This window comes from Homo sapiens, chromosome 3, assembly GCF_000001405.40.
Source record: "Homo sapiens chromosome 3, GRCh38.p14 Primary Assembly".
Classification (NCBI taxonomy): domain Eukaryota; kingdom Metazoa; phylum Chordata; class Mammalia; order Primates; family Hominidae; genus Homo; species Homo sapiens.
The window spans coordinates 15,265,294-15,285,822 of record NC_000003.12 but is presented as its reverse complement, the minus strand read 5'-3'; the positions used below and the strand labels follow the sequence as shown (position 1 = coordinate 15,285,822).

General features: G+C 48.8%; 1 protein-coding gene across 9 annotated transcripts in view, besides 6 other annotated features; it reads left to right on the top strand.

The window, feature by feature from the left end:
• SH3BP5 (SH3 domain binding protein 5) overlaps positions 1–20,529 on the top strand; it is an 87,028-nt gene that overhangs the window by 55,558 nt on the left and 10,941 nt on the right. For 7 of the 9 annotated variants that reach the window (NM_001018009.4, XM_047449242.1, XM_011534251.3 and 4 more), the window contains one exon: positions 15,946–16,110. In NM_001018009.4, the coding sequence (NP_001018009.2) occupies positions 16,087–16,110 (24 nt within the window). In that variant the 5' untranslated portion in view covers positions 15,946–16,086. Of the gene's footprint in view, positions 1–12,443; positions 12,708–13,962; positions 14,068–15,945; positions 16,111–20,529 lie in introns of those variants that run through there. The other 2 variants (XM_047449244.1, XM_047449245.1) reach the window with 2 other exon arrangements.
• Positions 15,423–16,622: an enhancer, noted in NCBI's record as "MED14-independent group 3 enhancer chr3:15310708-15311907 (GRCh37/hg19 assembly coordinates)". NCBI's record gives its function as "activates an origin of replication core promoter dependent on BRD2, BRD4, P300/CBP and CDK7 cofactors, and independent of MED14, by STARR-seq in HCT116 cells {active_cell/tissue: HCT116}" and the evidence as "EXISTENCE:reporter gene assay evidence [ECO:0000049][PMID:35650434]".
• Positions 15,946–16,245: an enhancer, noted in NCBI's record as "active region_19529". NCBI's record gives its function as "activates an Ori minimal core promoter by ATAC-STARR-seq in GM12878 lymphoblastoid cells {active_cell/tissue: GM12878}" and the evidence as "EXISTENCE:reporter gene assay evidence [ECO:0000049][PMID:35858748]".
• Positions 16,306–16,355: an enhancer, noted in NCBI's record as "active region_19528". NCBI's record gives its function as "activates an Ori minimal core promoter by ATAC-STARR-seq in GM12878 lymphoblastoid cells {active_cell/tissue: GM12878}" and the evidence as "EXISTENCE:reporter gene assay evidence [ECO:0000049][PMID:35858748]".
• Positions 16,802–17,340: an enhancer, noted in NCBI's record as "H3K27ac-H3K4me1 hESC enhancer chr3:15309990-15310528 (GRCh37/hg19 assembly coordinates)". NCBI's record gives its function as "activates a minimal SCP1, AML or CMV promoter by ChIP-STARR-seq in naive H9 embryonic stem cells {active_cell/tissue: H9 hESC(naive)}" and the evidence as "EXISTENCE:reporter gene assay evidence [ECO:0000049][PMID:30033119]".
• Positions 17,341–17,880: an enhancer, noted in NCBI's record as "H3K27ac-H3K4me1 hESC enhancer chr3:15309450-15309989 (GRCh37/hg19 assembly coordinates)". NCBI's record gives its function as "activates a minimal SCP1, AML or CMV promoter by ChIP-STARR-seq in naive H9 embryonic stem cells {active_cell/tissue: H9 hESC(naive)}" and the evidence as "EXISTENCE:reporter gene assay evidence [ECO:0000049][PMID:30033119]".
• Positions 17,668–17,777: a silencer, noted in NCBI's record as "silent region_14102". NCBI's record gives its function as "represses an Ori minimal core promoter by ATAC-STARR-seq in GM12878 lymphoblastoid cells {active_cell/tissue: GM12878}" and the evidence as "EXISTENCE:reporter gene assay evidence [ECO:0000049][PMID:35858748]".

The following is a 20,529-nucleotide window of genomic DNA, read 5'->3' as shown; positions in this document are numbered from 1 at the left end:
TACCAGGCAACAAACAGTGCTGAGTGACCCAGGGAAGTCTGAAACGTGGAGGAGGTGGGAAGAGAAGAGCCAATGTTCCTGGCTACTGGAGGGCTTGGCGGAGCACCTGTTTCTAAGTGCAGCTTCTCTACCATGTTAGTGGTGAGGACTCACGGTGCCTTCAAAGAGTTTGCAGTCTTGTTGAGAAGACCAAGTGAATGGTGAAATAATTCGTGAGATGTATTCCTGATATGTTCATGGCGTTGGGCAGTTTTCAAAGTATTTTTTCACATATACTATTTTATAACGTGGCAAACTGACAAAAGAAGTACAGAAACTTGGTCCTATGAAGTCAGAGAGGGTAAATTCTTTTCCCAGGCTTAATTTCCTGAAGCCCCATTGGGATCTGGGTTATGTATCGCCCAGCTTGGAAGGGGTGAGGTTGAGCGGAGCGGGGAATGAGTTAGATCTTGAGAGAATGGCGTTCATATGACATGACTTTCTGTATACAGTTTGATTATTCAGGTGAGCTTTTACATCACCCTAAGTGGCCATTTTCAAGGATAAACCTGTCCAGATAGACATTTATCTAATTGCAGGAGTCACAGGAGAAAAAAATCGCAAATGCATGAATAACGATTGATCATAAGGGAGTTGTTTGTGGATTATCATTTCTACCATAGCTAGGTACCTTAATTATACAAATATTTCTTAAACATTTGCAGTGTACCAGCCACTGTGCTAGAATATGGGAATTAAATTCAGTAACACAGTTTTGGCTCTCATAAGACTTTCCAGGACACAAGGGGCAATACTGCTGTGACGAGATCCTAGAAATCCTATGTACTATGCATAAAGGAGAGGGCTGTGGGTTGCCAGACTTTTTTGCTGTAGCATCTTAACTCCAAAGGTCCTGGGTCTGGGGCACTCACCAGGCATTCGGTCGTCCAGTGTGTGCTGGTGTCCCTGGGTTTGAGTTGTCCTTCTCTCCTCTCCCTTCACATACCTTTTATGGGTCTCTCCCAGGCTCATAGGCCAAGAGTAGAAAGCTCTGGGCTTCTGAGTTGCAGAGTGAGTTGGTGTTAACTGAAGTCACTTTGTCTAGAGTGGGTGTGTCCTCTGCCTCTGTTAAATGGCATCCCCTGGGACTGAGGCCAAGCTGTTGTGTGAGGTACTGGCTGGCAAAAGACCAATCCTGGCCAATATGGAGAAGCTCTCCAATTGAGAGGCTCCTTTTGTTGATCCCAGCTGGCAGGGAAGGGGCCATTGACAGATAACTCCCCTCCATCATTTATTTTGAGTATTTTCATCTGAGGCACGAGGAATGTTAACGACTTTGAACCCATTTATTTCAAGTGTGTTGGAAAGCAGTCGCCAAATAGAGACTAGTAGCACCCAGGATTAGCTTATGAAAGTTTGACATTGGCGCTTCCAGCCAAGTGGGCAGGTGGTGAGAAAGCTTTACAAATAATCCAGGAAAGAACCCATGCTGGATACATGTGCAGAGGCTTCCAGAACTAGGCAGTAAGGAGGGGTTGAACAGGGATTGTGAGGCCTTTGGATGCCCTGTAGAGAGAGGGCTTGGCAAAATGGGTGTGCAGATGGTGGCATGGAGAGAGTTTATCAAACTGTGGGTTCCCATCAGGATCTACAGTCTAGAGAGTCAGTCTTGTAAGCTTCAGTGAAGCTTACTTAAGCACGGCCAGAGGAGCAGCTGGTTCACTGAAACGTCAAACTTAATAGATAATATACCACTGGAGAGGGGGGATAATATGGGGCCCTGCATTGGTGCTTCTTCTCTCCAGGTGGTCAGAGTCGGAGACCTGGGTATGAGTCCCAGTCTCCTTCCTTTCTAGCCCTGTGACCTTGGACCAGTGCCTTCACCAGTTTCTTTGGGTGTAAAATGGGTCTGACAATACTTCTAAGCAGGGCTATGGGCTGGACTCTGTGGCTTCACACCTGGCATATAGTAGAGGTTTCATAAACACCCCTGTCCTGGCTCCTTTATCCTCCCTCCATCAGGGCAGTAGAGGTGGAGTTGTGGGGAGGGACAGGGCTTATCCAGGTGCCTGCAGTTTGGTTTTGGCTCTCCTTGAAAGTGCTCTATCCTGATTTAGTGCTTTGTAATTATAAGTGGGCATGTTTTGTTGTTTTTCTGTCTCTGCTAGGGACAGAGAAAGAGCTGAGAGCTTTAAATCATCGCAGAAGAGACTGAAGTTAGAGATGAGAACTTTTGGACAACTGGAGTGGTGTGGCCACTAACAGGCTATTGGGGCCATTGCTGGGCCCCTTCATTTCCCGTACATCTTAAAAGATTGCATGTGGGTAATATGGGCTTTAAGGGACCATGAGCAGCTCAGCCTTGTAAACCTGTCTCTTGTTTGGGTAACATTTTGACTGTTTACCTCCCCTCATTGGCAATCTTAGATATTTCTTTTCCTTTTTTTGAGACAGGGTCTCGCTCTGTTGCTCAGGCTGGAGTGCAGTGGTGCAATCTCGGCTTACTGCAGCCTCCCTTTCCTGGGTTCAAGGATTGTCGTGCCTCAGTCACCTGAGTAGCTCGGACTACAGGCGCCTGCCACCACACTCAGCTAATTTTTGTACTTTTAGTAGAGACGGGGTTTTGCCATGTTGGCCGGGCTGGTCTTGAACTTCTGGCCTCATGTGATCCACCCGCCTTGGCCTCCCAAAGTGCTGAGATTACAGGCGTGAGCCACCGCACCTGGTCTTGTTTTACTTTTGTTTGCTCATTTATTTGAAATGTTGCCTTTAATGAGGACAACCATTGACAAATATTTTTGGTTTTCCCTATTCTTTTAGTAAGCGTTTTCTTGAGTTTTGTGATTATGTGGAAGGTAAAGAACAAAAGTGATAACTGATGAACCAACGCCTTCAAAAAATATTTCTTTACAACTTTTTATTATGGAATTTCTGCAAAAGTAGAATAATCAGTGGACCACATGTGCCCATCACCAGCGTCAACAATTGTTAACCTCTTGCCAATCAGGTTTCGTCCACCCTCCCCCTCTAGCTTTTTCCTTGATTATTTTAAAGCTGTTCATAGATTTATCACTGCACACCTAAGTATTTAGATATGTATCTCTAACAGGTAAGAACCTTTAAAAGGTCACATTTTTACACCTAACAAAATTAGTTTTTAAATATCATCTAGTATCCAGGCCTTTTTCAAATTTCCCCAGCTGTTTAAAAAAAGTTTTATTGTGATTGGTTTAAAACATTTGACTAGAAACCGTGGTTATTTTTTGTCTTGATAAATAGTATGGATCTCCCTTTTCCCCTCAAATTATGCTATTGCTTAAGCCAGTGACATAATTTCGAGTTTAAAGAAAGAACTGTGTGGTAGGTAAATAGCAAAGCAACAGCTGATTAAGAAATGTATTGAGAAGCAATTTTGTAAACTTTTTTATTATGGAAAATTTGCAAACTTGCACAGCAATAAATAAGATAGCAAAAGCAACATAGCTTGTGGTTAACTAGTCTGCTGCTCACAATTTGCGTATGTTGTTTAAGCCAGATACTGCATTACAGAACTTTCCTCATGGGTCCCTGCTGTAATTATGTATAATTATGTATTTTCAGTACTGTAACTGAGGCTTCCTTGGAGTTAGCAGAGGCCTTGGCATTCCAATCTGAAAAGTTTAGTGACTTGTTCAAGGTTGTAGACCCAAGACAATGGTTATTGTTGGTGCTAGGGATATACTCTGTTCTTCCTGGTTCTCTTGACACAGAATACGGCCTCATAGTGGCTCAATTGTCCTGGTCAAATCAATGCCAGTTTTGTGCAAGGCATCAAAATGTGCTTTTTTTGGGGGAGGGGACCGTGTTTCGCTCTTGTCACCTCATGCTGGAGTGCAGTGGCGCAATCTCGGCTCATCACTGCAACCTCCGCCTCCCAGGTTCAAGCAATTCTCCTGCCTCAGCCTCCTGAGTAGCTGGGATTATAGGCATGCACCACCGCGCCCGGCTAATTTTTTGCATTTTTAGTAGAAAAAGGGTTTCACCATGTTGGCCAGGCTGATCTCGACCTCCTGATCTCATGTAATCCACCTGCCTCAGCCTCCCAAGGTGCTGGGATTACAGGCGTGAGCCACTGCACCTGGCCCAAAATGTTTCTTTTGTTGCCATTATGGTGTGTTAAGATTGGAGAGCTACAGGGGGCTTGTTTGTCCACATGGTGCAGGTGGAACCATGCACTTGGGGAGCAGTTACTGGAGGAGTGGGTGTTATGCTCGCAACCCCCAGGCAGAGAAGTGTGTACCTGTAGAGAGGCAGGACTGGGGGAGGGAGCAACTGGCCACCTGGTTCTTCTGCTGGAGAGGAAGGAGAGAGGTAGGAGTCGGGAGATCAGAGCTCTGCCAAGGGAATCTGATGCCTTCAGGTCCTTGTTCAAGGTTGTAGACCCAAGATAATGGTTATTGTTGGTGCCAGGGATATACTCTGCTCTTCCTGGTTCTCTTGACACAGACCATGGCCTCATAGTGGCCCAGTTGTCACTGGTCCAATTGTCCTGGTCAAATCAATGCCAGTTTTGTGCACGGCATCAAAATGTGTTCTTGTTGGGGGACCGTGTTTCACTCTTGACCAGCCTGGCCAACATGGTGAAACCCTGTTTCTACTAAAAATACAAAAATTAGCTATAGCTATAGCTTAGGGGAGGGAGATGCTCTTTCCTCTTCTGGCATCCCAGTTCTTTATACATCCACCTCTCCACTCCTATGCTCCACCCTTGTGACTGGAAACCGGCAGCTACTCATTAACTGCAAAGGAATGTCATGAGGCATAATTACAGAACACATGGACTTTCCCGGCGTGCAATATTCCAGTTCTCTGCCACCGTGCGGCATAAAGCAGGGCTCTCCACTCCCTCACAATGTCAGGCAATGACCAGGTTCGTGGCCTGGGTCTGCATCGTGCATCCCAGTGGAGGATGAAATAGCTTCCCTGATTGGTGTGTGTGTGTCTTAAGAGATGCTGGTGTTTTGTGGGTCCTGGGAATGACAGTGTAGGTGGGGGACAAAGGCAGAGATGGAAGAGAATTGTGAGTGGACGTGCAGGGAGGAAGATACAGCCCTGCTGAGCTCAGGGAAACCCACCGCAGTGGAGGAGCTCTGTGAGTTTGCACACATTTGAAGAATTAAGAGGTGGGGCATGTTGCGTGTGTGTTTTGGGGACAGAGAGAGTGCGAGAGTGTGATGTCGGGGATGGCTGTGTGGCTGGCTGGCAGGGAAGGCAGCTTGGATTGGGGCTGATAGAATACCCAGGCTTGATGCTTTGAGCAGGCCAATTTATTTGTTAGGCTCTGAAGTTTTCTCCTAGAAAATAAAACAATTGGTCTACATTGTCTCCGTCTCCCTGAGCGCAAAGACCCTGTTATTTGGTTCTGTGGGTGAGGAGTCTAGGTTTGGTGGTGGTACCCTGGGGTGCTGTTGTGGGGTTTTTTTCCTTTTGGGTACTGCTGTCTACCCCCAGCTCAGGCCCCTGCCTTGCACCTGGCCAGTCGATTCTCTAGCCGGTGGCACACTGCTAGAGCATGAAGGTGAGAGCGGGAGGAGGATGAGGAGGAATGTGGGCGCACCCTTCTGGCTAGGGTGGGCAGGAAGAGCCTGGCATCTATGGGGTTGCTGCAGCAACAGGAAGGATTTGATTTGGGATGCGTCGTTCCCGGAGGCCTGCTGTGTGTAGCTGGCAGGCCCTGTAAGCTGCTTGTAATTGTGAAAGGATGGAAGTGTGGGGACAGGTCATAGACATCAGTCGGCTAACTAGCCGAGGCACACTGACTCAGGCTAAGTAGTGCCCTGTGAAAACATAAGGCCCAAGACCATCCTCCTGCCAGCTTTTACATGAATTAGGGAGATTCTGTAGGGTGACAAATAGTGCCAGCTTAAGGCAGAGGAACCGGTGCTTCCTGAGTGCAATGGGAAGCCCTCTGGGTGCTGTGTCTGAACATGCGGTGTCCAGAGGTGAACTGCAGGCTGGTGTCTAGTACTGAAGATAAGCAGAGGTGGGCTCAGTGCTTGATGAACCTTCCCTGATGCCCCCAACCGAAACCCTTGAGTCAGACTCACCCCTGGTTAGTCTGGATGACTGTTGGCAGTAGGGATTGTCTTGCCAGAAACTGGGGTCAAAACTTTCAAATATATGCAAAATAGACAACAGTGTAATGGAACCTTGGATGTTTGTCATCCAGCTTCTATTACCAACCTTGGGGCAATCCTGTTTCATCTTTACCCCCACCCCCAGCTCTCCCTTCTTACTCCTAGCTGTATTTTGAAGCAAGTAGTAGCTTTTACATTTTTATTTTTTAAAAGTTCCCCTTTAAGCTCAGGCTGGAACAAAACCGTTTGACCTTGATATTTCTAACCCTGCAAAGCTCTCTTGCTGCTCCGACATATTAAAGGGCTCTGTAGTCTGTCTATGGTACAGCTGCAGGTGCTGTCTCTCTTAAGACTGCCCGTGGTTTTCTCATTTCTCTAAGGGTAGATACATACCATAGATTTCTTGTTTACTTTGTAATATACATTGTTGGGAGAAATAACACTATTAAACTGATAATGGCTCAGACTGTACATGGTAACCTTTGGGACCGAGAAAAAATGATGTCCCCTATGTTTGACAAATTTTTAGATCTTTTTTTTTGTTTGTTTCTTTTCCCGAGACAGAGTTTCGCTCTTGTTGCCTAGGCTGGAATGCAGTGGTGCGATCTCGGCTCACTGCAACCTCCACCTCCCAGGTTCCAATGATTCTACTGCCTCAGCCCCCTGAGTAGCTGGGATTATAGGTGCCTGCCACCAGGCCCAGCTAATTTTTGTATTTTTATTAGAGATGGGGTTTCGCCATGTTGGCCAAGCTGGTCTTGAACTCCTGACCTCAGGTGATCTGCCCGCCTCAGCCTCCCAAAGTGCTAGGATTACAGGCATGAGTTACCACGCCTCACCAAATTTTTAGATCTTTAAGAAACTGATTCAGGAAAATTTTGATAGAAATAATGAAAAACTCCGTGCCACAAGCTACATTTAGTAAAATTTGATATGGATGAAACTGTTCATTCAATCAAATCTATTTGAAATAGAAAGGAATCAATCCTCAGGAGAATAATTTTGACTAAATAAAAATGAAAAATTAGAAGCACCTCGGTGTGAAAAATAATCAAGGAACTAAATGGGCTTAATGGAATTCTCTCCAGAAGATGTTTTCAAAGGAAACTTTGTTCTGAGATAATTTGGATTAAAATATATGCCAGACATCCTCAGGGGTGAAACGGTGCTATCAGAATGGCCAGTTTCTATCTCTGGTCCTCTTCAATGAAGCATCATTCAGGAGTTGAAGGGGGAGTGCAGGATGGGCAGCTTGCAGGTTGGAAGGACTCAGGCAGTCCATGAACTGCCGGTCCCTGGGATTCCTCAGAATATAGGCAGAAAACCACGGCTTTAATAAAGTTGAGAACAGACATCCTTGTCTCTTGTCCATTTTGATGTTTGTCCTGCCCATCCCTCCCTCACTGAGACCCCCCAGGGGTTATTGACCATGTTTTCAAAGGTTTTTGATCTTCCTCGGTTGGGTTGGAAAGGCCTCTGATGCTTTTCTTCATGAGCTTCTAGCCGGGGGAGGGGTTCTTTCCAGCAGTGCCTGTGACATTCACTGTAAAGAGGCAAGGACAAAACAGTATCAAGTTAAAAAGGACAGAGGCTTCCTACCAAGTGGTTGCCCCCATCGAGCAGGGGCCTTGCCCCGGGCCCTGTGGGGGTGAGATTCCTCCAGCGAAGCACGAGGGGTAGAAGCTGGCCGACCTGTCATTTGGCTGGGGCTTCTCTTTCCTCCGGGTCCTGCCACCCCGTGCCTGCAGGGTCACTGCTCACCTCACGCAGAGCCTGCTTCGCCCTGGGCTGGTATCTTTCCAACTTTCTCTAGAAGAAAGTGGGGCATTCCTTCCTCCCAATCCATGTCCAGGCATCCAGGGGGTTCTGGAAGCTTCTTTTGCTCCATCATTGCTTTGGCCAAGTGCTGGGGGGGTGTATGCATACTGAGCCCAACCATTCCCAAGTAAACCCCAGAGTCCTTTTGGATTTTAAGTACTAAGACATTTAGAAAGGGGAGTGGGGAAGGCAGTAGGAGGCCTGTGCCTCTAGGTGGGGAAATTTTGCCTGCCCCGTGCCTCTCTGCATCTCATTCATGCTCCTGGCTCCCCTGTGAATGGGGTCCAAGTTGTTCCTCAGAGCAGGTGAGACTGTGTGGTGGGGGGTAGGAGGCTAAGCTCAGGCAGGCATGAGGGCTTTCAGGATCAGCCTCTCTAGACCCCATTTTCGGGACTCTGGTTGGGGATGAGCTCAGCTCCTACAGCAGCAGGCCTTCTCCCCACTTCTCCTCTGCTCCTCGTTGGCGGTCTCTGCAAATCTTATACCCTCCAAACCTCCCTGCCCATCCCGACCTGTGTGACGGTGGCCACTGTGTCCTTGATTTGTGTGGAGAGCTAAGGCTGCGCTGCCTTGACTGGTACTTCTTTGTCAGGAGTTTGCAGCACCGGCAAGTGGTGTTTAATAGAAGTTTAGAATGAGGCTGGGTGTGGTGGCTCACCCCTGTAATCCCAGCACTTTGGGAGGCTGAGGCAGGCGGATCACCTAAGGTCAGGAGTTCAGCCTGGCCAACATGGTGAAACCCCGTTGTATCTACTAAAAAACCCTGTTTCGTATCTACTAAAAATACAAAAATTAGCTGGGCATGGTGGCGGGCACCTGTAATCCCAGCTACTTGGGAGGCTGAGGCAGGAGAATCATTTGAACCCAGGAGGTGGAGATTGCAGTGAGCCGAGATCGCACCATTGCACTCCAGCCTGGGTGGCAAGAGCAAAACTCCATCTCAAGAAAAAAAAAAAATTTAGAATGAAAGCTCTGGGTTAGGCCTGTCGGGTTATTTTGAGACTTAAATGATGTACTATATCTATATACTATATAGTATAAATGTACTATATTCAGAACACTTTATACACATTATCTGAAACAGAATAAATGCTAAAGCAGTAACTGCTATGATTATTTTCTCCTTTGTAATCATCTGTATCCAGACCTGTAGGTTTGTGAGTAGTCAGATACTAGGTTGGTCTGGTCTTGAGAGCTCTCTTCCTGACTTGGAGCTACCACCTGCTAGAGTATGACTTTGGGCAGCCACCTCCTTTGCAGTTGCTGGAGCTAACCACGGGCCTGTCAGCTGGACCCGCGTAAGGCTTCAGGACGGGAGCCGCAGGCAGGAGGTAGCAATCCTGTGCATAGTGGGGTTTCCATCTTGTCTTTGGTGCCCTAGCAGCTGTTCTTGCCATGTATTGCTGGCGGGGAGACCGTCCAATTGTCTGGTGACTGTGTTAATGAGTTACTCCGGGGGGTACACACTGCATGGTTGAACTGAAATAGCTCCAGACTAGGGGTCAGGGGCTGTGGCTTCCTGGCTCTGGGGGGCCACTAAACAGCTATGTGACATCACCTATTCTGGGCTCTCCTTTGAAAAATGAGGGGCTTGAACTGGGAGGTCTGTAAACTCCCTCCTGTCTTGGACCTTTGTTGTAGCCAATGCAAATGTGCAGATGCTCTTGTTCCTCCCCAAGAGCCATTGTGGGCAACAGTGGAAGTTGAGTCAGAGGGGCATGACTGCAGCCTCAACAATGCCAGGCTTCTCTACCCGCCACCTCCTTTGCCGATGACCCTTCGTGGAATGCTCTACATTTCCACATTTCTAAGGGCTTCATAGTCACAGTGTCTAATGAAGGTCACATCACATTCATTTATGAGCAGGCTTTTTTTTTTTTTTTTTTTTTTGAGACAGAGTCTCACTTTGTTGCCCAGGCTGGAGTGCAGTGGCACGATCTTGGCTTGCTGCAACCTCCACCTCCTGGATTCAAGTGATTCTCCTGCCTCAGCCTCCCGAGTAGCTGGGAGTACAGGCTCCCACAACCATGCCCAGCTAATTTTTGTATTTAGGTAGAGGCGGGGTTTCACCATGTTGGCCAAGCTGGTCTTGAACTCCTGGCCTCAAGTGATCCACCCGCCTTGGCCTTCCATAGTGCTGGGATTACAGGTGTGTTACTGCGCCCAGCCCATAAGCTGCCTTTTAAAATTTTCTCCATGGAGCTCTTCCCATGAAAGCTGTTAGTGTCTGTAAGTCATGAAGGTATTTAACATTTTTTCTGTATTGCATCTTATACCTCAAACCAAGCTCTGCTAACATTTTCCTCTTTAGTACTATTATAAGCAGGGCCTCACTTCTTCCGCTGGCTCATTGGGTTTCTCTGCTGTGAGTGAATCACTGCATGACTTGTGCACACCACAGGACCTGAGAGCATAGAGCCCTATTCAAATAATGTATTAAATACCAGGGCCTGGGGCCTTTATTACGATGTGAAGGTAAAATGTTATCGGTTGTACCAAAGATTTCTAGGTGTCATCTTTCATATGATGGTGAGAACCAGATAGCCAGCTCTCTCCGGGATTGTGAAATTGATTGGTTTCTGACTTTGGAAGTCCTGTGTTTTGTGATGACACTGAGAAGCAATGTCGCAGTTAAACTTTCCTCAGTTAGATAAGTGTGTAAACTCTTTGGTGCTTCCTGTCTTGGCCTGGCCTGCTGCCTGATACACTCCTGCTTTGCAGAATCTTCCCTAGGAGACCTTTTGACAGCATGGTGCTTCCTCAGTGCACCAGAGGGAGAGATCTCCCTCTCTTCCCCTTCTTACAAGGGCACTGATCTCCTCATGAGGGTCCCACCCTCAGGACCTCATCTAACCCTAATTACTTCCTGATAAGGTTTGGGTCTGTGCTCCCTCCCAAATCTCCTGTCGAATTGTAATCAGCGATGTTGGAGGTGGGGCTTGGCGGGAGATGATTTAATCATGGAGGCTGTTGCTCATGAATGGTATAGCACCACCTCCCAAGCACTGTTGTTTGGACAATGAGTTCTCATGAGATCTGGTTTAAAAGTGTGTAGCGACTGGGTGTGGCGGCTCACACCTGCAACCCTGTAATCCCAGCACTTTGGGAGGCCGAGGCAGGTAGATCATCTGAGGTCAGGAGTTTGAGACCGGCTTGGCCAACATGGCGAAACCCTGTCTCTACTAAAAATACAAAAATTATTATTGGTGTCTTAGCAGCTACTCTTGCCATGTATTGCTGGCAGGGAGACTGTCCAGTGGTGGTGGCATGGACCTGTAGTCCCAGCTACTCAGGAGGCTGAGGCAGGAGAATTACTTGAACCCGGGAGGCAGAGGTTGCATTGAGCCAAGATCGCACCACTATACTCCAGCCTGGGCGATAGAGTGAGATTCAGTCTCAGACAACCAACCAACCAACAAAAAAAAAGTGTGTAGCACTTTCCCCGCACCCAGGATCCAAGTCCAGGCACTTTGTGAGATGCCCTGTTCCCCCTTTGCCTTCTGCCATGATTGTAAGTATCCTGAGGCCTCCCCAGAAGCTGAGCAGATACCAGAATCAGGCTTCTTGTACAGCCTGCTGAACTGTGAGCCGATTAAGCCTCTTTTCTTTATAAATTACGCAGTCTCAGGTATTTCTTTCTTTCTTTCTTTCTTTTTTTTTTGTTGAGCTAGAGTCTTGCTCTGTCACCCAGGCTAGAGTGCAATGGTGTGATCTTAGCTCACTGCAACCTCCGCCTCCTGGGTTCAGGTGATTCTCCTGCCTCAGCCTCCCGAGTAGCTGGGACTATAGACTTCTGCCACCACACCCAGCTAATTTTTTTGTATTTTTAGTAGAGACGGTGTTTCACCATGTTGGGCAGGCTAGTCTTGAATTCCTGGCCTCAAGTGATCCACCTGCCTTGGCCTCCCCAAAGTGCTGGGATTCCAGGCGTGAGCCACCATGCCCGGCCCATAGGTATTTCTTTATAGCAGTACAAGAATGGACTAATATGGCTCCCAAAGGCCCCACTTCCTAATATAATCACATTAGGGATTAGGGCTTCAATATGTAAATTTGGGTGGGCACAAACATTCAGTCCATAACAGGAGCCTTCCTGGAAATCTCACTCAGTGTTCATTTACCTCTCATTAGCTGTCACTTACCAGAGGGACCAGTTGTAGTGAGGGCTGGGAAGTGAGGGTCTTTAGCTGAGATATTGCCTCCCTTTGAGACCACAACGAATAGAGAGAATAGACAGTGGGGCATGACAGGTGCCCAGTGCTTACTTGAGTGAATGAACCGGTAAGTGCATGAATTATGGAGAGATGGCATCTGGTTTCTGTGGGTTAAATGTGGAATGAGGCCTCACATTAGTTGTACCTGTGATATGGCAAGGCAAACATGTATCCTATGTCACTGTACAGGAGAAGGAATCTCGCAGAAACTTCAGACGCTTGTCCGGAATTTGACAGCACATGTTCTTCTCAAAGGCAGCTTCACATGGGCTTCCTCTTTTCCTTTGTAGAGATCTGGTTCTCTTATTTGGAACTCATCAGATACATGGCAGAGGGTGTGAAGAGGTGCTGGGCCCGTGGTACAGCAGCCACCTTTCAGAAGGCCGTCAAAAGAGCATCTTTTCTTGCTTGAAGAAATAAGGGATTCATAACTGAAGCAGAGAGAACTGGGAGAAGAGAGTTTACCCTTAAATGTTGCTGAATTGAAATACTAAAAAATTCCTAAAAAGGCAAATACAAATCCCATTTTAGGATCCTGTGGGATTCATCCTGTCTCCTGGAGTTGGTGTGAAGCATATAGGTAGGAGAGGCCACCTATGGGTAGGGGGTGGAGTGGCTTTTAAGGTGACAGGTTCCCTCTGCTTCCTCTCGTTCCCAGCAGCTTGGCCTGCGGAGGCCCTGCAGGGCTGTCCTCACATGAAAGAACTAAGAACCACTAATGGGCCTGGAGGCACGAGGTGGGGCAGGGGTTGGGGGGGTGAGTTGGTCAGCTCTAGGGAGGGTGGGCATCCTTGTTCTCCTTGTGTAGCTGAGGCACACCTGAGTGGAAGTGGGCGACTGGTCCCAGGGCCACATGGTGAGTCCACAGCAGGGGCAGGTCCCTGGGCCACTTTGGTTGAAGGTTTAGCCTGGCATTCATTCAAGGTCTTCACTGGAGTCCTTTTTAAAAATTTGATCTGAGGTATCATCGAATCTCCTACAGGCACTCTGTTTTGTAATGTCTTTATCCTACAGGCACTCTGTTTTGTAATGTCTTTATCCTACAGGCACTCTGTTTTGTAATATGTCTTTATCCTACGGGCACTCTGTTTTGTAATGTCTTTATCCTACAGGCACTCTGTTTTGTAATGTCTTTATCCTACAGGCACTCTGTTTTGTAATGTCTTTAGAGTCTCAAATCCTTCCTTCTGTCCCCCACCTCATCAGCCCATGTTTTCAAATCATTTGTGTCCTTAGTCCTGAGTTCGGGATCCTCCTCCTTTAAGAGGCCTTCCTTGGTTCTTTGTACTGGAAATAATTTCTCCTTCACATTCCCTGCCATTCCTCCCTTCCTGCTGTGGCACTGTCACATACAGCGTTGTATTACAGACTTCTGAGTGTCCACTCCATGCTTGGTTCGGGTCTCCATCTGATTGTCATCGTCGCCTGGAGGGCTGGGTCTGGGTCTGGTATGCAGTACACAATCACAGAGTGCTCGGGAAAAGCTGTTCTTTGCCTTGGGGGCTGGCGTGCTCTGAGTCTCTGATTTTTTTGTTCCCCCTTCTTTAACCTTCTTCACAAAGCGTCCTCAGCCTGTGGTTTCTGAAGACTTCCTCGAAGTCATGCAAGAATTGCTTGGGGAAGGGTGGGGTCCCTGTAGTTCCCCTCTTCCCGAGTCCCAGGGGCTGCCTTAGGGACGTCCCACCAGGGCTTATGTAACTGACTTGGGGATGTGGTTAACCGAGGGAGGGTGGTGGGACGAGGGAGGGTGGTGGGACGCTGCAGAGGCGGGTTTGTGGCTTCTACCCTGCTGGGGAATTCAAGGTGAGCCTGTAGAGTGGTGACTGTGATGTTTCAGTGCTGATTTCTCATGCAGTCACACAGCTGCCATCACATGGCCCATCTTGGGGTAAAGGTATCTACTGTCCACAAGAAATAGAATTGGAATCGCCTGTATAATTGTAAGTTTCCCTGTGGTCACAGTAAAAAAGGAAAGATGGGGAGAGATGAAATGGTGAAATTAATTTTTTTTTTTTTTGAGACAGAATTTCGCTCTTGTCATCCAGGCTGGAGTGCAATGGCGTGATCTCGGCTCACTGCAACCTCCACCTCCCAGGTTCAAACGATTCTTCTGCCTCAACCTTCCGAGTAGCTGGGACTACAGGCGTATGCCACCACACCCGGCTAATTTTTGTATTTTTAGTAGAGATAGGGTTTCGCCATGTTGGCCAGACTGGTCTCAAACTCCTGACCTTGTGATCCACCTGCCTCAGCCTCCCAAAGTGCTGGGATTACAGGTTTGAGCCACCGTGCCCAGCCTCTGTGAATTTAATCTTTAAATTTTATTTATTTAAGAAGCAGGGGCTCATTGTGTTACCCAGGTTGGAGTGCAGCGGCATAATTGTATTTCACTGTAACCTCAAGCGGTCTCCTGCCTCAAGCTCCCAAGGAGTGGGGAATACAGCCATGTGCCACCATGCTCGGATAATTTTTTAATTTTTTCCAGAAGTAGGGTCTTGCTATGTTTCCCAGGCTGGTCTTGAATACCTGGCCTCAAGTGGTCCTCCTGCCTTGGCCCCCCAAAGTGCTGGAATAGAGGTGGGATCCATTGCACCCAGCTGAAATTAATTTTAATAATATATTTAATTTAATTTAATATATCCAAAATATTATTTCATCATATAATAAAAATTATTGAGATATTTAACATTCTTTTTTTTTTGTACTAAGTCTTTAAGATTAGGGATGTCTTACATTCAATTGGGATTAATCACTTTTTTTTTTTTTTTTTGAGATGGAGTCTCACTCTGTCACCCAGGCTGGAGTGCAGTGGTGCAATCTCGGCTCACTGCAGCCTCTGCCTCTTGAGTTCAAGTGATTCTTCTGCCTCAGCCTCCCAAGTAGCTGGGATTATAGGTGCCCACCACCATGCCTGGCTAATTTTTGTGTTTTTAGTAGAGATGGGGTTTCACCATGTTGACCAGGCTGGTCTTTAATTCCTGACCTCAAGTGATCCGCCTGCCTCCCATAGTGCTGGGATTACAGGTGTGAGCCACTGCACCTGGCTGGGATTAATCACATTTTGAACAATCAGTAGACACATGTAGTGGGGGCAGCTCTAGACGTGGTGGTCAGCTACAGTTGGTATTGGTTCTCCCACCTGATGCTCCTTGAAAGCAGGGACCGTGTTGTGTTAATTAATTAGGTCCTTCTCTTTGCCTGCCTGGTGCCATACTTGGCCTGTCGCTGGTGTCAGTGGGTGTGAGTTGAGTGGGAGACTGTCTGGCAGAGTGACAGTGCTGGGCTGGAACTCATACTGGCTGGAGTCTGGCACAGCTCTGCATCTAGTCAGCTGTGTGATCTCAGGAAAGGCTGTGTCCTCTCAGCTAAGGTCCCCCTTCTATAGAGTGAAGTCTTTGGACCATGATCTCTGGGGGCCTTCCTGGTTCTGACTTGCCATGAATTGAGCCACAGATCTGGGCAGGGAAGGTGACAGGCCTCGAGTGAGGCAGAGCTTCTGAGAAAGGCTGTGGGGTTGGCTGTACCTGTCCCACGATGGGCTGGTTTGCCATGTCAGGTTCTGGCCAAGGGCTGATGTGTTTATCTCATCCATTGGGCCCAGAACTGTGGAAATTGTTCGCTCACTGATTTGTTGCTCACTCCCCCATCAGGGGTCCATTGCCCTGTCTGGCATCTATGAGGACCTGTGGGTGCCAGGAGTGAAGAGGCAGAGATGAGCTTGTCCTGGTCCTTGGGATGCTTATTTTTTGAAAGGTAAAATGGACCATGGGGAGCCCCTGCCATTTTCTGAGGCCTCATGAGGATTCTTTCTCACACAGGCTCAGCTGGAAGCTCAGAAAGCCACGCAGGACTTCCAGAGGGCCACAGAGGTGCTCCGTGCCGCCAAGGAGACCATCTCCCTGGCCGAGCAGCGGCTGCTGGAGGATGACAAGCGGCAGTTCGACTCCGCCTGGCAGGAGATGCTGAATCACGCCACTCAGAGGGTATGAGTCATGGCCGGGTGTGCTGTGGGGGTGTGCGCGTGCATGCGCGCTGGCTTCCCCTGAGCGGAGGTAACAGACTCGACTCCCAGGCATGTTGCCTGAAAACACCCTGAAAATCACAGGTTGTCATCTCCGTATGATCTCTTGGCTGCGCTTGGTACGAAGCCAGTGCTCCAGAATGAGTCACAGTGTCTCTCCGTGACAGCGAGAGCTGCTCCTTCCCTTATGTTGCTTGAGGTTTGTCTGGTTTGGGTCATCCCCAGGGGGTCTTGACTGGACTCAGGCTTCCAGAGGGACGAGGTTTTCCAGGGTTTGCTCCCATGGAACCCCAGCAATACTGGCTGGGTTTCGAATCTGTGATGGGGAGACCTTGATGAACAGCCCTAAATGGGGGCTGCACTTCGGGTATGTGCTGTCGGAGGAAGGCAGGGGTCATGGCGGATTAGACCAGAATCAGGTGTGTACTTACGACAGGCCTTCTGGGCTGGGATTCAGGGAGTTGACAGGCACAGAGGAAGCGGACTGTGTGTGATCCTTACTCACAGCTTGGCTTGCTGGGTTTTATGTCATTATATTGGGTTCTTTACTGGCTCTCATGACCACCTCTCTGACTGCGTTACTCAGAGCCAGAAATGGTGTGCCTTAGTCTGTACAGGCCAAGACAAAATACTAAACAAAATACCATAAACAGGGTAGTTGGTAAACAATAGAAATTTATTTTTCACAGCTCTGGAGGATGAGAAGTGCATTGGTAGGTAGGACATTGGTAGATTCAGTGTCTCATGAGGGCCTGTTTCTTGGTTCACAGATGACCATCTTTTCCATGTCCTAACACGGTGGAAGGGGTACATGAGCTTATAAGGTCACTAATCTCATTCATGATGGTTCTACCCTCATTACCTCATCACTTCCCAAAGGCCCTATCTCCAGATACCCTCACACTGGGGATCAGTTTCAACATAAGAATTTTGGGAGGACACAAATGTTCAGACCATAGCAGCTAGGGACAGTTCTTGGCTCAGCAGTACTTGGTTACCCCTGCCTAACTCTATCGGGTTTCTTAGAAGTCACGCAGAATGTTCCTGGATACCTCTTCCCCCTTCCAGGCTTGGCTCCTGGGCTGCCCAGGCTCATGTTCCTGGTATCCCCCCACACCAGCCTGGGTCCATTGTGCCCCTCTGCATTCTCTGTCTAGATTCCCAGCGCCTGGAAAACGAGTGTAGGGCTGGTTTGCTGCAGGGTGGGTGGGTGAGCTGACCTGTGGCTTCAGCAGCTCCAATAAGACCCTGGACGGCGCGGGTACGGGGTTGCAAGAGGTCTTGGTGACTCCTTGAGAAAGCCGTCTGGGGGACTGGATTAGAAAAGTCAGCAGGTTAATGCCAATAGGATTTCCCTTTTAAATGTCACCTGCCACAGTGGCTCAAGTCCTGGGGGATCTGATAATTAAAGATGGCCTTGTGCTTCCTTAAATAGAAAGCTTGGCACACAAATGACTTCAAGAGTCAAATCCGCGTTGACTTTACGCACCTCTCCCTGCAGCCTGAGACTCTCGGCTGAGCTTGGCTTTGTGTGGCCTTGCGCCTCCTGCCCCCTAGTGGGCGTGATGCTCACAGAGCTAGACGTGGGCTAGAAACAACTTTTCTGGGTCATCTCGAGAAAAATGGAAGGGGTGGCTGGAAATCTTGGAAGTTCACAAGCCAAAGCCCGATAGATATGAAAAGGACAAAATGTAAGGTAGCTTCTTCCAAGAAATTAGCTGAAGGGCCACTTTTCCTTTTTGCCCTTCTTCCACCCCAGCTGGAGACCCATGTCAGCCTATAAGCAAGCATTTCAGAAGTCATTTAATCTGTTGTTTAAAGATAAACAAACCATGCTTCTGCTTTGTGTATCTCTCATTTTTAAGTCCCAGGGCCCCAGTGGATAGTGGGTGGCCTCCCAAGGAGTGGCATCCCCAGACCTCCACACTGTATAACTCAGGGCACCGTTCATACCACAGACTTTGGGAATAGCGCTTTTTGGAGTTGTGCAGTGCAAGACCTGTGGGGCTATACAAGATGGCCCTGTACTCCTGAGGTCATGAGGGCTTCATAGGGCCCTGGGAGGGCCAGCTGATATGTGCCTTCTCTGTGGCCACTGAAGGGAAGGGCCCATTTGGTTTTCTTGGGCTTGGGGGCAACCTCTGCAGATTGGCAGGTGTTCCGGGTCACATGCCAGGATTTCCACCTTTGAGCTGATATTCCTCTTCCCAGATCCCTTCACAGTTGCATAGGCTGGAAATGCCCCTCATTGAACAGATGAGTTAAAAACAGACACCAGCAAGAGACAAAAGCCTGTGGCAAAGCTTTCCCCCATCACGTCCCTGTGCCACTCAGAATTTCAGCGTGCAGAGCAGGCTCTCCGAATGTAATGGATGATGCAGAACATAATTCTTTCTCCAGGACACACACTTGCATGGTTGGCTTTGAAACAGTGTCGAGTAACTGGGAACTCTCTGGACTTAGCGTTTCCCCCAGTGGTGCTCATGTTGACCCCTCCTAGAGCCTCACGGGCCTGGCATGCTCAGCCAGCTGAAAGCTGTGTGATCAAAGGGCTAGAGAATGTCTCCTCCCTTGTCTGCCTTCTGGGTACTCTAGGATGCTTGTTTCTGTAGAACAAGGGAGCTTCATCTCACCCTCTTCTTCCAAAGTATTACTTAAGGGTCTAATAAAAGAAAATTCCGTGCTCAGAAAGGCCCAGGGCTGTCTTGAAGAAATGGCAGTGGCTTGGACTACACGATCCCTCCAGGCACAGCGGGACACTGGGGTTCCCACGTAACGTGCCCAAGATTATCTATGCGGCCCCTCACACTTCCTGTGGTGACATCAGGCAGCCACACTTGGAGCCATGGCTGAAGCCGATATACTAGGAGGTGGCAGCAGCCCTGGTGTGCTCTGTTAGGCCACATGCAGTGGCACAGACAGGGACAAAGGATCAGTTTTCTGCTTAGTGCTGGGGTTGATGAGGACTCTGGAAAATACAAGTAGCTTGTGGCAGAGCTGCCAACCTTGTAGTTGAGCAGCCTTCCTTGGGGCACAGGGCCTGGGGTCCCTGCTGCTCTCCAGCTGGGGAGCTTGGGCAGCATAGGACCCCTTCAGCCTCAGCTGTTTTGGCACTGAAGTAGCCTTTATGGGAAGGTGATAGCTTTTCATCCTCTGAGAGAGGAGGGCTGGCATCCTGGGAGGGAGAAATTGGCTTTTCTGATGTCTGCTGAAAGAGCTCAGACAGAGGAAGAGGGAAATGTGACTTGGAAATGAGAGGCACGAACTGTTTCTGAACTAGCCCCAGGTGGCTGCTGGAGAGGACACGACGCAGGGCCAGCCCTTCTCCTGGTTCACAGTGGATATGAGCCTGGGATGGCAGGTGAGGAGCTGCTCACGACAGCCTCCCTGACGTTGGTGGGTGTGAACCGCCTCCCTTCCACACAGTGGGAAGAAGCGCCTTCTTAGGTCTCATTGCCCAAGGACGCAGTAAGAATCAGGAAACAGTCTGAAACAGTCAGAATGGAGGTTCTCAGCAGACAGTGAGATTGCCTCCCTGGGCAAAGAGGCTCCTGACCGCCCCTCTGTGATGTTGGAAGAGATGTTGGGAGTGTAACTGAGGGTGCAAAGGCCCTGGAGATTGGAGAGTCGAGAAAGCTGTAACAGGAGGCTGAGGAGCTGTGCCTGGTGGATGTCTACTAAGCCGGTTGGGCCATTCTGCTGGTGTGGGACCCCGCGAAGAGGCTGGCCAAGCCAGATTGAAACACCCAATCAGTGCCCAGTGGTGCCCATGCGGGAAGGTGCCGGGTGTTTGCTATTTTCTGTGGGCTGATATGAGCAGGGTCCGGGGCTGAGCAGTATCTCTGTGGTCCCTGGATCTTCAGCATCTCCGGAGTATGCTGCTCCGGAGTATGGGGTGCAGTTTGCCACACCTACCCCTGAGCCGCTCTCCTCCTTACTTATCCCACCACACCTGACCCACATCACTGCACACAGCTCATGCCTGATGCTAGGCTGTAGATAGAGGAGCTCCTTGATTACCTAGGAGACATAACCAAGGCGACATGCTTAGTGACCTTCTTCCTCAAGGCAGGAAGCTGAGTTGTGTGGAGGTCTCTTCCAGGAGCTGGAGGGTTGTGTGTGTGTGTGTGTGTGTGTGTGTGTGTGTGTGTGTGTGTGTGTGACGGAGTCTCGCCCTGTAGCTCAGGCTGGAGTGCAGCGGCGCGATCTTGGCTCATTGCAACCTCCACCTCCCAGGTTCAAGCTTTTCTCCTGCCTCAGCCTCCTGAGGAGCTGGGACTACAGGCACCAACCACCACACCCAGCTAATTTTTGTATTTTTAGTAGAGACGTGGTTTCACCATGTTGGCCAGGTTGGTCTTGAACTCCTGACCTCAAGTGA